This window comes from Homo sapiens, chromosome 11 (assembly GCF_000001405.40).
Source record: "Homo sapiens chromosome 11, GRCh38.p14 Primary Assembly".
Classification (NCBI taxonomy): Eukaryota; Metazoa; Chordata; class Mammalia; order Primates; family Hominidae; genus Homo; species Homo sapiens.
This window is the reverse complement of record NC_000011.10, coordinates 71,829,210-71,844,909: the sequence shown is the minus strand read 5'-3', so window position 1 is coordinate 71,844,909 and position 15,700 is coordinate 71,829,210. Positions and strand designations below refer to the sequence as shown.

The 15,700-nt window shown below is 43.7% G+C and overlaps 1 protein-coding gene and 1 long non-coding RNA gene across 4 annotated transcripts in view; one reads left to right on the top strand and one right to left on the bottom strand.

The window, feature by feature from the left end:
• The window catches only part of XNDC1N-ZNF705EP-ALG1L9P (XNDC1N-ZNF705EP-ALG1L9P readthrough), a 123,614-nt gene that overhangs the window by 83,685 nt on the left and 24,229 nt on the right, over positions 1 to 15,700 (top strand). The window lies entirely within an intron of this gene.
• Positions 7,200 to 11,710, bottom strand: DEFB108B (defensin beta 108B). Its single transcript, NM_001002035.2, has 2 exons — positions 11,653 to 11,710; positions 7,200 to 7,511 (listed from the first exon to the last, which is right to left on the bottom strand). Exons 1-2 carry the CDS (start codon positions 11,708 to 11,710, stop codon positions 7,348 to 7,350), a joined length of 222 nt encoding a protein of 73 aa, NP_001002035.1. The 3' UTR covers positions 7,200 to 7,347.

The following is a 15,700-nucleotide window of genomic DNA, read 5'->3' as shown; positions in this document are numbered from 1 at the left end:
TATATCCAACCTCTTCTAAGAAAACAAATAAAAAGGGACACTCCAAAACATTACATTTATCAAAACAATTTGTATTAAGATAATGTTCACATAACAAAATATTCACTATTTCAACCATTTTGATTTGTTTAATTTAATAGATGTTAGTATATTTACAATGTTGTGCAGCCATCACCGCTATTTAATTCCAAAACCTTTCCATCACCCCAAAAAGAAACTCCTTCTCTAATCCCCAGAAACTACTAATTTGTTTTCTATCCCTATAGATTTGACTATTCTGGACATTACATAACTGGAATTATAAATTATATACCCATTTGTGTCTGCCTTCCATAACTTAGCATAATTTTTCAAGGTCATCCAAGTTGTAGGATATATAGCTATTTCATTCCTTCTATCAATAAATAATACTGTATTATATAAATATAACACATTGTGTTTATATATTTATCAGCTGATGGGTATTTGGGTTATTTCAGCTTTTTTGCTATTATGAATAATGCTGCTATGAGCATTCACTGAGAATTTTTCAACTCTTAGGTACAAACTATTTTCTTAAGTATATACCTAAGAGTGGAATTGCTGGGTTATATGGTAACTCTATTTTTAATTCTTTAAGAACTGCCAACCTGTTTTTCAAACTGCCTCCACCATTTTGGTGGTTTACGGCTCTATTTTTGTGCTGATGGGCCTCCTGCTGGGAGGTGGCGCTTTCCAGAAAGCATCCGCTGTAGTAGTGTTGAGAGATGACAACATGCTAGCAGTCCTCGCTGGCTCTCAGCGCCTCCTTGGCCTCGGCGTCCACTCTGGTTGCACTCCAGGAGCCACTCAGCCTGCCGCTGCACTGTGAGGGCCCCTCTCTGGGGCTGGTCAAGGCCGGAGCTGGCTCCCTCTGCTCGCAGGGTGTGGAGGGAGAGGCCCTGGTGGGAGCCGGGGCTGTGTGTGGCCCTTGTGGGCTGGTGCAGGTTCGGGGTGGGTGCGGGCTCAGCAGGCCCCACACTTGGGGCGGCTGGCCGGTGCCTGCTGGGCTTGACTGGGAGATGAGCTCTCTCTAGGCAGCTGGAGTGCCAGGGCTGGGTGCTGCAAAGTCCTGTCTGGCAAGTGCCATCAAGAGGTGAAGCCAGCTGGGCTTCTGGGCTGGCTGGGGACTTGGAGAACTTTTCTGCCTAGCTAAAGGACTGTAAATGCACCAATCAGCACTCTGTGTCTAGCTAAAAGTTTGTAAACGCACCAATCAGCACTTTGTGTCTAGCTAATCTGGTGGGGGACTTGAAGAACTTTTGTGTCCAGCTAAAGGATTGTAAATGCACCAATCAGCACTCTGTGTCTAGCTAAAGGTTTGTAAATGCACTAGTCAGCACTCTGTCAAAATGGGCCAATCAGCTCTCTGTAAAATGGACCAATCAGCAGGATGTGGGTGGGGCCAGACAAGGGAATAAAAGCAGGCCACCGGAGCCCACAGCTCAACAGGGTTGGGTCCCCTTCCATGATGTGGGAACTTTGTTCTTTCGCTTTTTGCAGTATAGCTTGCTGCTGCTCACTCTTTGGGTCCACGCCGCCTTTAAGAGCTGTAACACTCACTGCGAAGGTCTGCAGCTTCACTTCTGAGGCCAGCCAGACCATGAACCCACTGGGAGGAATGAGCAACTCTGGACACACAATCTTTAAGAACTGTTAACACTCACCAGGAGGGTCTGCGGCTTCATTCTTAAACTCAGCGAGACCAAGAACCCACCAATTCCGGACACTGTGGAGAGAGACCAGTGGTGGGCAGGGCTCCAGAACTCCAAAGATCATATGTTCTTTGTCTTCTGCTACCAGGGTGGATATGGAAGGACCATCAGGTGGGGGCAGGGCTAGGCGTGCCTGAGCTCAGACTCTCCTTGGGGAGGTCTTGCTTTGGCTGCTGTAGGGGATGGAGGTGAGATTCCCAGGTCACTGGAGTTGTGTACCTAGAAGGATTATGGCTGACTCTGCTGAGTCATGCAGGTTGTCAGGGAAGTGGGGGAAAGCTAGCTTCCATGCACACTGAAAGGCTGGTCTCACTCCCACAATGCCCCTTGCGATAGCTCGGAGTCTGTTTCCAGGCCGAAGGCAAATCTGGCTTGAAAACTTACCTGAGGCTTTCTGCCTCCCGACTGACAAAGAAATGCGCTTCAGTTATTACCCTGCCTGTGAAGTCTGCAAGCCGGATTCACACCCTCCCCTGAGTTCTGGCCAGGAGGCTTCTCGCCGCATTCAATTTTTTATAAAGTTCAGCTAGAGAAGTCCTTCTCCCTGTGAAGTTTTACCCCCTGCTCCTCTGGCCACCCTCCTGATGGATGCCTGTGGTGCCAGGCAAGAATGGGTTACTTGGGGATCCAGCGGCCTTCCAGTGCCTTTCTGCTACTTCCTCTACTCCTGTATGTCTCTCAGCTCAGCTCTCTAACTTGACTCAGCTCCAGGTGAAGTCAGGAACTTCTCCCACAAACAGACTTTCAGCTTCTCCAGTGGGGGTGTGTGTTCAGGAGATGAGGGTCTCCCTTTCCCATTTCCGTGGTTAGGGGACTTAAAAGTATTTGGGGTGTCTCCCAGGTCCTGCAAGAGCAGTCTGCTTCCTTCGGGGGGTCTGTGGGTCCTGTGAGGATTGCTAGTCTGTTCTTGCAGTCCATCTGGAGCTAAAACTCACAATGCAAGCCTCCGCATGCTGCTCTGTCCAGAGCTGCAATCTAGTTCTGCCTCCTGTCTGTCATAATCCCTCATGACCCTTGAGCTTTTTTTTCATATGATTGTTGGCAGCATGTATGTCTTCTTTTGAGAAGTGTCTGTTCATGTCTTTGCCTACTTTTTAAAGGTTTTTTTTTTTTTTTTGTAAATTTGTTTAAGTTCCTTGTGGATGCTGTATATTGGACCTTTGTCGAATGCATAGCTTGCAAAAATTTTCTCCCATTCTGCAGGTTGTCTTTTTACTCTGTTAATAGTTTTTTTTTGCTGCCCAGAAGCTCTTTAGTTTAATTACATCCCATTCGTCAATTTTTTGCTTTTTTCACAATTGCTTTTGGTGTCATTGTTATAAAATCTTCGCCCATGCCTATGTCCTGAATGGTATTGCCTAGGTTGTCTTCCAGGGTTCTTATAGTTTTGTGTTTCACATTTAAGTCTTTAATCCATTTAATCCTGTATATGAAGACCGATCTTTATGTTTAGAAATTCTTTCATCTTCTTAATCTAGTCTATTGTTGAGGTTCTCAAATTGTATTATTTTATTTATTGAATTATTCAATTTCAGCTGTTAAATTCCTTTTCACTGATTTTATGGATTTGTTTGGTTGAAATCTGTTGCTGGAGAATTATTGTTTTTCCTTCAGAGATGCTATATTTCCTTGCTCTTTAATGTTTCTTATGTCCTTACATTGATATTTGAATATCTGGTAAAACAGTTGCTTCTTCTAATTTTATAGATTGGCTTTGGTAGTAAACGACTGACTTCTGTAGCTGTATCTATACTGTTGAATCAGTAAGACACTTTGCCTTTAGTTCTGGGTTGGTTCAGTAGTTTAGACTTCTATGATTTCTTCAGCTATAATCAGCATCACTGATGTCTGTGAGCTCCTCAGTGTCTTAGCCTTCATTGTTGATGGAGGCTGTGGTGAGATTTTGCTGGGGAAAGACAGGCCAGGCAGTTTGGTCCTTGGGCACCAGTTGCATTGGTCTTTGAACTTGTGGGTGATTTACGTGGGCACTAGTGGTTGAAGTTTCAGGCAGGCCATCCTTGGGCCTTCAGGTGGCTTTTTTTGTTTGTTTGTTTGTTTTTGAGAAGGAGTTTTGCTCTTGTTGCCCAGGCTGGAGTGCAGTGGCGTGATCTCAGCTCACTGCAACCTCTGCCTCCCGGGTTCAAGCAATTCTTCTGCCTCAGCCTCCTGAGTAGCTGGGACTACAGGCATGGGCCTCCACGCTCGGCTAATTTTGTAGTGTTTTTTTTTTTTTTTTTTTAGTAGAGATGGAGTTTCTCCATGTTGGTCAGGCTGGTCTCGAACTCCCGACCTCGGGTGATCTGCCCCCCTCAGCTTTCCAAAGTGCTAGGATTACAGGCGTGAGTCAGGTGGCTTTCTCAAGTGCCAGCAGTGACAGTGGTGAGCTAGGTAGATAGGCATGCCCTCAAGACCCTGGGAGGCATGTGTAGCATCAGCAATTGCAGTAGTCATAGCAGGTGAACTCTTGGGACCCCAGATGGCATGTGCAGACACCAACAGTCATGGCAACATGATGGACAGAGTAGTCCTCAGGCTTTCACCTGGTGCAAATATGTTGGCACTGGTGGCAGCGGTGATGGCAGGCTAGGAAGTCCTATCCTTAGGCTCTCAGGAGACACACAGGCACTTGATGGTGATAGGCATAGTGGATTAATCCCCAGGCTCCCAGACAATGTGCACAGGCACCACCAGGCTGGGTGGGCTCATACTCAGGTCACAAGAAGGCATGCACAGGTGCCAATGACAGAGAGCAGTGTGGGTTGATCCCCAGCCTCCTGGACAACGAGCTTGGGTAGTGGTAGTGACAGCAATGGGTGGGATGGGCATGTGTTCTGGCCCTGGAATAGTGCCCAGGCAGGCGAGTCCCCAGATCCCCTGAGGATGCCTGCAGGTGTGCAGTGGCCCTGCTCCTGGGGGTCAGGATAGCTGTCAGTGTCAGTGGCCCTGGGAAGGTGACACTCCACTTGTGAAGAGTGCCTGCTTCAGCTCCCTTTGTTCTGGGGGCAGCCTCCCTAGTGAATGGCACTGCCAGTTCCCTGGAGTGCAGGACACTTTGTAGGCTAGAGTGATGGGGACCAGCCTACACTGGTGAGTTCAGCTGGTATTGTGACTCTGCAGGCCTCTGGATGGACAAGAGGGAATGTCACTGAGGGTCCAGAGATGTGGAGATGCAGGGGATGTTGGGCCCCAGGGCAAGATGTAGTCTGTTGGGGGCTGGGCTCTCAAAATGGCACTGTGCCACAGCTGCCTGTGTCTGGGGGTGGGTGCAGATGATCCAGTGCCAACTCCTTCTCTGGGACAATGACCATCACATAGATTCCAGGCAGCTCCCTATAGTAGTCTCAGGGCCTGCGAGGGCTGAGAGACTGTCCCTTGGCTAGGATTGCAGTGTCCACAGTGGGAATATGGACCACTGGGGCTCTCTTTTTTACCTTTTCACCACACTGGAGAGCCTGTCCTGGCTTTAAGCTGATTCTGGCTGGGCTGCTGCTTCATTTTCCTTTCCTTCCATACCTCAGAGATTCCTTGTCACTTTGCTGCTGAATTCTAGTGCCCTCTTTTATGCCCTCTTCAAGGTATGATTATCTACTTGCTGGTTTGGTCTTTCTTTGGGAGGGCACAGTGCCTGGTACCTCTAGTCAGCCATCTTGAAGGCCACCTCCTAGCAATGAGAGGATAATATTCTATGTGACGGCCTTAATATACGTGTCCAAACTGCTTCTTTTCTAGGGAAGAACTTACTCTAAGAAATAAATGTTATATAGTGCAAAAATATATTAAAGGGTCAGTTGGTGATGTAGTTTCAAGAGTGGCACTGAGGAAAACTTGGCACTTCCACAGGGCCGAGTTGGTTGGAATATATCTCAGTCTCTGAGATTTTGAACCCAATGTTTTGAACTTTTTGAGATTTCAAGTAGCCCACGTGACATAACTTAACATTCTTTCTTGGCCAAATCAGGCATGGTGAAAAATAAAATCCAGCTAATATACTTTTAAATATCTTGATTCTATACTCTTTCAATAACCAAGGGGAGGCCCCCCACTACTTTACACAAAAATGAAAACTCTATGAATGAGAATCTCTTCACACAAAGCAACTAAAGTTGTGTCTAAATGGAGCAAAATGGTGACAGGTGGCAAAAGCACTCAGTGGCTGTAGTAGGTAGAATAATGTCCCCTCTGTCTCCCACCAAAGCTATCCACATTCTAACTCCTGGGTCCTGTGAATATGCCACCTTGTAAGGCAAAGGGAAATTGAGGTTTCATGTGAAATTAAGGCTGTTAATCAGCTGACCTTAAAATAGGGAGATTATCTTAGATCATCCAGGTGGGCCCAATGTAATCATGAGTCCTAAAAAATGGAACAGTGGGGAGAAGAAGAATTCAGAATGATGGAATGTGAGGACTCAACGCTCCTTTGCTGGCTTTGAAAATGGATGAAGGAAGCTATGGTGCACAGGACTAACCTGCCATTGCTGGGATAAAGGTGCAGGAAGAAAACTGCAGAGCTTCCAGAAGAAAGCTCAGCCCTGCTGACACCTTGATGTTGGCCCGCTGAGATCCATCTGAAACCTGCAGCCTATAGAACTGTCAGATAATGCATTTGTGTTGCTTTAAGCCACTAAGTTTGTTGTAATTTTTGATAGCAGCCTTAGGAAGCCAATGCAGTGTTTTAAAAGATGGAAGAAAATGCTGAATGATTATGCCCAGAAAAAGCTGGGGACTAAAGGAATTCCCTGAATCTTGGCCAGGCATACAGGTACAGACCCAGGGAATTGCCTTTGAAAAGGGTGCTGAAGAAATTGCCTTTAATCTGAGTGCACCTCTTTTTATAATTTAGATTTCTGGTGAAGTCTGGTTGACGTGATTGTGTAATTTTCCCATGTGCTGCACCTTTATCAGGGAGAGACAGACCCCTGCAAGGCTGCATGGAATAGGATGGTGCATTTTCCCAGTAAAAAAGGGGAGTGGTCTTCCCACACTCAGGGTGAAGGGTTACAGTGCGAGACAAAAGCAATAGGTATGGTGAAAGTTCCCCCACCCTGCTGCAGGTCATTTTCAACTAAGAGCTCATCTAGATGGGATAGAAAGATACTGGAAACCAAACAGTAATCAAGTCATAACATGTAATATAAACTTATTTCTTTCTTTCTTTTTTTTTTTTTGAGACAGTGTCTTTCTCTGTCTCCCAGGCTGGAGTGCAGTGTCAGGATCTCGGCTCACTGCAGCCTCCACCTCATGGGTTCAAGCGATTCTGCTTCAGCCTCCTGAGTAGCTGGGATTACAGGTGCCTGCCACCATGCCTGGCTAAATTTTTGTATTTTTAAAAGAGACAGGGTTTCACCATGTTGGCCAGAATGGTCTTGATCTCCTGACCTCATGATCCACCCACCTTGGCCTCCCAAAGTGCTAGGATTACAGGCATGAGTCACCGCACCCAGCCAGTAATATAAACTTTTAAAAGAGTTTTGTGCTGGTTGGTTTTGGTTTATTCTTTTTTGAGGATTCAATAAAAATCCCTGTGAGAAAAATGGAGAGAGGGAAAGGGAGACAGGGAGACAGAGAGAGGGAGAGAGAAAAAAGAGAACATAAAACCTCCAGAAAACAACAGGCTTCAGTCCTTTTTGGGTGTAGTGCTCTCAATTCTTGGTTGATGCCCCAGAGGCAGGCAGCAGGGTTGGCTATTTAAACATCTCCCAACATGGATTTCTGTTTCAAGGCAAAAGTCCCGACAGGAGCCATTTGGACGTTCACAGATCTCCTTGAATTTGCCCCTGGCTACATGAAGAAGAGGGTTATTGTAACCATTCACCAGTCTTTCTTTACTTTGTGTTGAATTACATGGATGTAGGGGGCAGTGCTTGAAAATAATCTTGTGTGGATTTGTGTGTGTGTGTGTGTGTGTGTGTGATTTGATTTCTTAAACACTTAAAAATCTGCTGTCACACAAAGATTTGGATTTTTTGGTGTTCTTGAAAAATCTGAGAATATTGGGTGCACCTACATGACAAAAGGCTGGAGGTGAGTAGCCCGCTCCCCTTTACAAGTTCTAGAGCATGCAAGTTTCAGTTTATTTCTTCCTTATTATCTTCTAACACTGATGGGAGATTTCAGCCTTTTAAAAAAATTTAATGTCTTGCACTATGGATTTTCCTGGAGCGAAAGAGAAGAAAATCTCTTTTGGTTCATCTCTTTTTATTTCTACACACACAGACACACACACACACACACAAACACACACTCTATATGATAGATTATAATAGATGTATCTTTCAAAAGTAGAACTGAAATATAGACCTAAAAGACAATATACTTTAATTGTTAGAGAGGATATTTTTCCTGTGGAAGGGAACAATATTCCTATGTGTTTAATACACAAATATATCTGTGCCAGTACTTGTTACACCCTGAGACTTCACTCACTACTTATATCTCTGGCACGGGTATTTGAGGTTGCAATTTTTCTCTAGAAACCATTGCATATATTAAGAGTGAAACATTCAAGGTCTTCTTAAAGGCTGAAAAACTATACTTGTTGAAAACATTGTATAGTATTTCATTTATGTCCTAAGATATCACTGCTCTGGGGATAGGCCACACACACTGAGGTATTTAGTTTGAAAAGTGTTTTAATTCTGAGCAGCCTTTGTATGTAACACAGAGCACCTTTTCCATGACAACTTCTTGGCAATAAGAGAGGTATAAAAACCAGCACTTTTTTTTTTCTATTCTGGAACACAAAAGCCAATTCTAGAATAGCTTTCAATCAGTACAGCAATTTTAATAAACATTCAATAAATGCCTATTTAACTGAACTGAAATCCAAATGCATTAGGTTCCATTTAACTTTTCAGTGGTCACAAAGCAGTTAGTGGCTTGATGTGAAGACCAAATATATGCAATATCATATTTATATCTATAATGCAAATTGGGAAATAAAGGTCATGCTTTTTTGAAGACAATGATAATTCTAGATGTTGGTCACTTAGTAGAAACAAGCTGAAATCTGAGTTTTTTGATCCCTGAGCTTTCCATCTCTTCCTTTTATCTGTAAGTAGTCAGCTACTACGTATAGTAGTACCCAAGCCCACTGGCCTTGTGCTAAAATTGGCCCTTTGCAGCTGGAAGAGTCATAAGAGATTAGTATAGTGTAGAGGATGAACCACTGACCTGTCTTGTGATATGTGATAAATCACTCTTGAACATCCCTCTGTGGTAGTACTTCTTGCATTCTACTACGGGTGGTGTTTTCTCATCTGACCTCAATTCTTGATAATGAATTTCTTGAGGGCAGGAATCATATCTTATTCTCCTCTGTATGTATATTCCAGAATCTGATTAAAGTCTTGGCTTATAATAGCTATTCAGTAAATGATTGTGGAATAATTGATTAAAATACAGCTGTTTTCTAACTTGCAATATGTTTGTGCAGAAATTTGTTGTTACTCTCGGTTCACAGGTCTTTGAATCATGTGTACTATGTTACTATACCTGATTCTATTGAGCATTATATTTTCAAACCACTTTTCAAGAAACTTAATACAGAACTACCATTTGACCCAGTAATCTCACTACTGGGTGTATATCCAAAGGAAAATAAATCAGTCTTGTAAAAAGACCTAAATTTGTATGTTCATCACAGTGGTATTCACAGTAGCAAAGGTATGGAATCAAACTAGGTGTTCATCAACAGTGGATTGAATAAAGCAAATGTAGTACATATATGTCATGGAATACTATGCAGCCATAAAAAGAACAAAACTGTGTCTTTTTCAGTAACATGGATGCAGCTGGAGGACTTTATTCTAAGCAAATTATCTCAGGAACAGGAAGCCAAATACCACATATTCTCAGTTATAAGGGGGGGCCGAGCAATAAGTGCACATGGACATAAAAATGGGAACAAGAGAGATTGGGACTTACCAGGAGGGGAGGGAGAGGGAGTAAAGTCTGAAAAGCTACCCTTTAGGTACACCCTACCTGCGTGACAGAGTTATTCATACCCCAAACCTCAATATCACACAATATACCCATGTAACAAATCTGCACATGCACTCCCTGAATCTAAAATAAAGGTTGAAATTATTTTAAAAAATTGAAATTACAAAGGGCTTTTTAAAATTATGATGTACCATTGTTCATTTACAAGAATTCAAGTAACATTAGGGATTTTAAAAATCTTTTGTTTTCATTTGTTCTTTGCTTGTAAACCTTGTGTATTGCATATTGTGGACACTATGTCTTTTCCAGCTATTTGCTTTAGGAACAAAAGCTAGAGTTACAATGAACATCATAGGCTGTCTTGTCTAGTCGCTTACCTTAAAGATGAGGAAATAAGCTGACGGAAAGAAAGAAACTTGCTCAAGATCACCCAGTGATGGAGTGAGACAGATGATAGGGATGGCACTAAGGCTTGGTATTCTGAGCCTCATTCTATTTTCCACTCTTGCCCTCTCTCTGTGTCCTCCTCTCTTCTCTAGCCTTCTACAAAAAGTTTGCAGTTCTGCTTCAATGTCTACCTAAGGACATCCAGAGGAGGTGCCACCTTTCATTAGGCTGCATTCTTTAGCACCATCCTGTGTTTTCTTCTCCAGTCTTGTTGCATCCCATTTTTGACTGTGAGTAATGCTTCTGCCTGTGCTGTTCTATCCAATTAGTTGCTTCTATTTTGATTGAGTGACAATGAAAACAACAAAAAAAATTTGTTTATCCAAATTTGGAATTTTTAAACCTTGATTAAAAGCATTGATTTTCTGGGGTTATATATGTAAGACACATATTTTAAAATATTTTTAACTGGTTAAAAAAATCAAACCCATGTATTTAGCCAGGGTGACTATTTAACAAGTACTAGGAATTCAGTAATGCCACAAGGATAATAATCTTATAAGTCAGTCCCCGATGTTGTGTGCTACCGAGTTAATATAATTGGATATGGTATCACCTTTTTTCAGGCTTTAGGAAGTCACACAAAGGAACGGCACAACAGAACTCCAGGGTGGGATGTATTAGGGAAAGCCAGGATATTAAAACAAAGTGTTGACTCTGACATTTACCCCACTGTTGAGAAAAGCACTTCAGTTTCCAGGGCCTTAATTTTTTTCTCTATAAAACAGCAAAAATAGAGGCAATAAGTTGCTTATTCATCCTTGAATACACATGTTCAGGAGTTCCAGAAAATTTTTGGATCTATTTTGGGTGTCTGGTAACCACCATGGGCAAATCCAAGAAGTCCTAGACACACTTCTCCAAAGCATGTCTGTGCAAGGGGCCTTATACCTGTGATTAATGTTTGCATGCTGAATGCAGTAGGCTATGCCCTGGTGTGGGGTCATCCCTGGTTCCTGTGTTTAAATTCTACATTACAAGACTAGATGCTGAGAAGGAAGAGGGAAAGCCAGGGATGGAGATGGAGCCTTAAGGGGAAAAGTCAAGCCCCAGTGACCAACAGTATTGGGGAGCAATAGGTTAAAGATTTCTTAGATTATAATAATATTTTCAAAGAGACTTCTTCCACCAATCCCTTCTGTCTGAGCCTACCACAGCTTTGGCATAGCTCTTATGCCAGTTCTTAGGAAAACTAACTGTTGCTGAAGGAAACTAGAGGAGCTTTGGAGACCAAGATTTAGTAGAATAATGCCTGATTTTTAATTTTTGATGTCTAGTAACTGCTAGTAAACTTGCCTAATTTGGAGATGGAATAAGAGGGTTTCAAAGACTTGAAACACCATTGACTTCATTTAACTGAGTTGCTATGGAGAATTAATGAATTAGATGGCTGCAGGCCTCTCAGCCAATGAGTCTTCCAGATTTCCTATGAGACCCCCTTTTCTGGTTATAGGTGATGGTGATTTCTCTTTGAGTATTGAATCCCTGTAAGGTGTTAGGCACTCTACTCTTACCAAGTTTATTTTGTTACCTGGTAGAACTTGGCTCATAAAGAAGAAAATGGCGAAGAGGAGGACAGCAATCCTCATGGCTGAAGAAAGAAAAAAGTTTGTCTTCATTTCCAGGAGGCAGAGAAAACTTCCATCTGTGGCTGTCTAGCACCAGTGGAATGTCTCTGTTTGGATAATAAGAGTCTTTGTGTACCTCATTAGGCATATTCATAGATAGACGTGTTCTATGCATGCAAAATTGCTTTTATGGGAAGACTGAGAGTCCTTTTTTTATTGGACAGCCAGTTCATTAGTATGATGTGGGTGCACAGTTTTGGCCATAAAACCTTGTTAAATGGGGACATAAGCTACAAACATTTTGGCAAAAGATGAAAGTTTATGAACAAACAACCATTTATATTGTTACAATAAATTAGACTGTGTTGAGAAACCAGTTGGTTTCATTAATGACCAGACATTTTGTTAGTGAACACTTCCCAGACTTTACTTGCCCTGCTAAGAATTAATCACCCCACTTTCTCCTGGTCTGAAAGTCCAAAGTGCTTTGTTTATGTTACAGTACTTACTGCCTTGTATGTTAGATTAGTGAATGTATATTTGCCTCATCCACTACTGTATGAGCTTCTTGCTTGCTAGGACAAGACTATATTACTCAGAACTGAGGAGGGAGTTGAATCATGTGGCTATTTATTCTCAAATCCTCTTCACCAAGTGGAACAAAACAACAGTGAAAGACCACCGCACATGGAGGCAGGAGGTCTGGATTTGGATTCTAGATCTCTAGATCTATTACTAACTGGAGGTATGGATATAGTCAGGAAAATTGTCTTCCTTAGGTGCTTCCTTGATAGCGTCTATAAAGGTCGAGATCTGTTGGATCTAGATCAGGGGATTCTCAATCATTACTATGCAGAAAATCAACTGGGAGAGTTACTTTGCAATACAGATGCTTAGTTCCATCTCATGATATTTTTATTTTTTTTAAAATTGGTCTAGTATTTTTTGTTGTTTGTTGTTGTTGTTTTTATTGATCATTCTTGGGTGTTTCTTGCAGAGGGGGATTTGGCAGGGTCATAGGACAGTAGTGGAAGGAAGGTCAGCAGATAAACAAGTGAACAAAGGTCTCTGGTTTTCCTAGGCAGAGGACCCTGCGGCCTTCCGCAGTGTTTGTGTCCCTGGTTACTTGAGATTAGGGAGTGGTGATGACTCTTAACGAGCATGCTGCCTTCAAGCATCTGTTTAACAAAGCACATCTTGCACCGCCCTTAATCCATTTAACCCTGAGTGGACACAAAACATGTTTCAGAGAGCACCGGGTTGGGGGTAAGGTCATAGATCAACAGCATCCCAATGCAGAAGAATTTTTCTTAGTACAGAACAAAATGGAGTCTCCTAAATCTACTTCTTTCTACACAGACACAGCAACAATCTGATTTCTCTATCTTTTCCCCACATTTCCCCCTTTTCTATTCGACAAAACCGCCATCGTCATCATGGCCCATTCTCAATGAGCTGTTGGGTACACCTCCCAGACGGGGTGGCGGCCGGGCAGAGGGGCTCCTCACTTCCCAGAAGGGGCGGCCGGGCAGAGGCGCCCCCCACCTCCCAGACGGGGCGGCGGCCGGGCGGAGGCGGCCCCCCACCTCCCTCCCGGACGGGGCGGCTGGCCGGGCGGGGGCTGCCCCCGGGGCTGCCCCCCGCCTCCCTCCCGGACGGGGAGGCTGGATGGGTGGGGGCTGCCCCCCACCTCCCGGACGGGCCGGCTGCCGGGCGGAGACGCTCCTCACTTCCCGGATGGGGCGGCTGCCGGGCAGAGGTGCTCCTCACATGCCAGACGGGGTGGCGGGGCAGAGGTGCTCCCCACATCTCAGACATGGGCGGCTGGGCAGAGACGCTCCTCACTTCCTAGACGGGATGGCGGCCGGGGAGAGGCACTCCTCACTTCCCAGACTGGGCAGCCGGGCAGAGGGGTTCCTCACATCCCAGATGATGGGCGGCCAGACAGAGACACTCCTCACTTCCCAGACGGGGTGGTGGCTGGGCAGAGGCTGCAATCTTGGCACTTTGGGAGGCCAAGGCAGGCGGCTTGGAGGTGGAGGTTGTAGTGAGCCGAGATCACGCCACTGCACTCCAGCCTGGGCAACATTGAGCACTGAGTGAACAAGACTCTGTCTGCAATCCCGGCGCCTCGGGAGGCTGAGGCTGGCAGATCACTCGTGGTTAGGAGTTGGAGACCAGCCCGGCCAACAGAGCGAAACCCAGTCTCCACCAAAAAAATACGAAAACCAGTCATGCGTGGCTGCACGTGCCTGCAATCGCAGGCACTCGGCAGGCTGAGGCAGGAGAATCAGGCAGGGAGGTTGCAGTGAGCGGAGATGGAGCAGTACAGTCCAGCTTTGGCTCGGCATCAGAGGGAGACCGTGGAAAGAGGGAGAGGGAGAGGGGGAGGGGAGGGGGAGGGGGAGAGGGAGGGAGAGGGAGAGGTGGTCAAGTATTTTTCATTAAATAATGTAAACTTTCTTAGTCTACATCTAATAAAACTCCCACCAGCATACAAATACATTGAATGATATTAGCAGCAGAATCTTTAAATAAAGTAACCATACAGAACTATTAGGCCATCTTTTTTTCATTGCTTATTATTTCATGCTATTTGTCACCATTGTCATCATAATCAGCCTCATCCTACATTGTTGAACACCCATCACGGACCATATGGCATAAACATTTTTCCTACTCATAAAGGAGCATATGTTCTCTATATGTATATAAAATTAATGTCTGAACAAACTGGCTTAAACAAGGCAGAAGTTGGTTTCTCCCTCACTTAAATCTATAGTTCTACCTACCATGGCTAATACAGATACCTGCCAAATTCATTAGGGATGCAGGCCCCTTCCAGCTCTCTGTTCTGCTATACTTTAGAAGAGGCTCTAGTTTGGCTGCCAAATCCCCACCTATCATTTTTGAATTCCAGGCAGCAGGAAGGAAAAAAGCCAAGAGAGAAAAACAAGGGAGCATCTACCCCTCCTTTTAAGTATTTTAACCAACCCCTCTTGTTTTTTTTTAACTGACTTTGTTGAGCTATGATTACATTTAAAAAGCTGTACATATTTAAGGTGTACATCTCAGTGAGTTTGGGGATAAGTATACACCATGAACACATCACTACCATCAAGATTATAAACATATCCTTCACCTCCCTAAGTCCCCCCCCTTTATTATTATTATTTTTTTGGTAACAAATATTGGTAAGAATACAAAATCTATCCTTTTAGCAAATTTTAAGTGTGTAATACAGTATTCTTAGCTGTAAGCACTATGCTGTAAACGAGACCTCCAGAACTTACTTATGTGGTATATCTGAAACTTTGTGCTGTAACCACATCTACCCATTTCCCCAGCACCACGGCCCCTGGCAACCACCATTCTACTCTCTGCTTTTGTGAGTTTTTCTATTTTAGATTTCAAATACAAGTGAAATCATATAGTAATTGTCATTCTGTGGTTGGCCTATTTCATATAACGTAATGCCCTCCAAGTCCATCCATGTTGTCACAAATGACAGGGTTTCATTATTATGTAACACTGAATAATATTCCATTGCATATATGTATCAGCCATTTATCCTGATACTCTTCCTCCACCTGCCTCCCAACAGTCCCCAGTGTGTGTTGTTCCCCTCCTAATATCCATGTGTTCTCACTGTTCTGCTCCCACTTATAAGTTAGAACGTGCAGTGTTTGGTTTTCTGTTCATGGGTTAGTTTGCTGAGGATAATGGCTTCCAGCTCCATTCATGTTCCTGCAAAGAACATGATCTCATTCCTTTTTACGGCTGCATAGTATTCCATGGTGTATACGTACCACATTTTCTTTATCCAGTCTGTCACTGATGGACATTTGGGTTGATTCCATGTCTTTGCTATTGTGAATAGTGCTGCAATGAACATATGTATGCATGTATCTTTATAATAGAATGATTTATATTCCTTTTGGTATATACCCAGTAATGGGATTGCTGGGTCAAGTGGTATTTCTGGTTGTAGGTCTTTGAGGAATCACCATA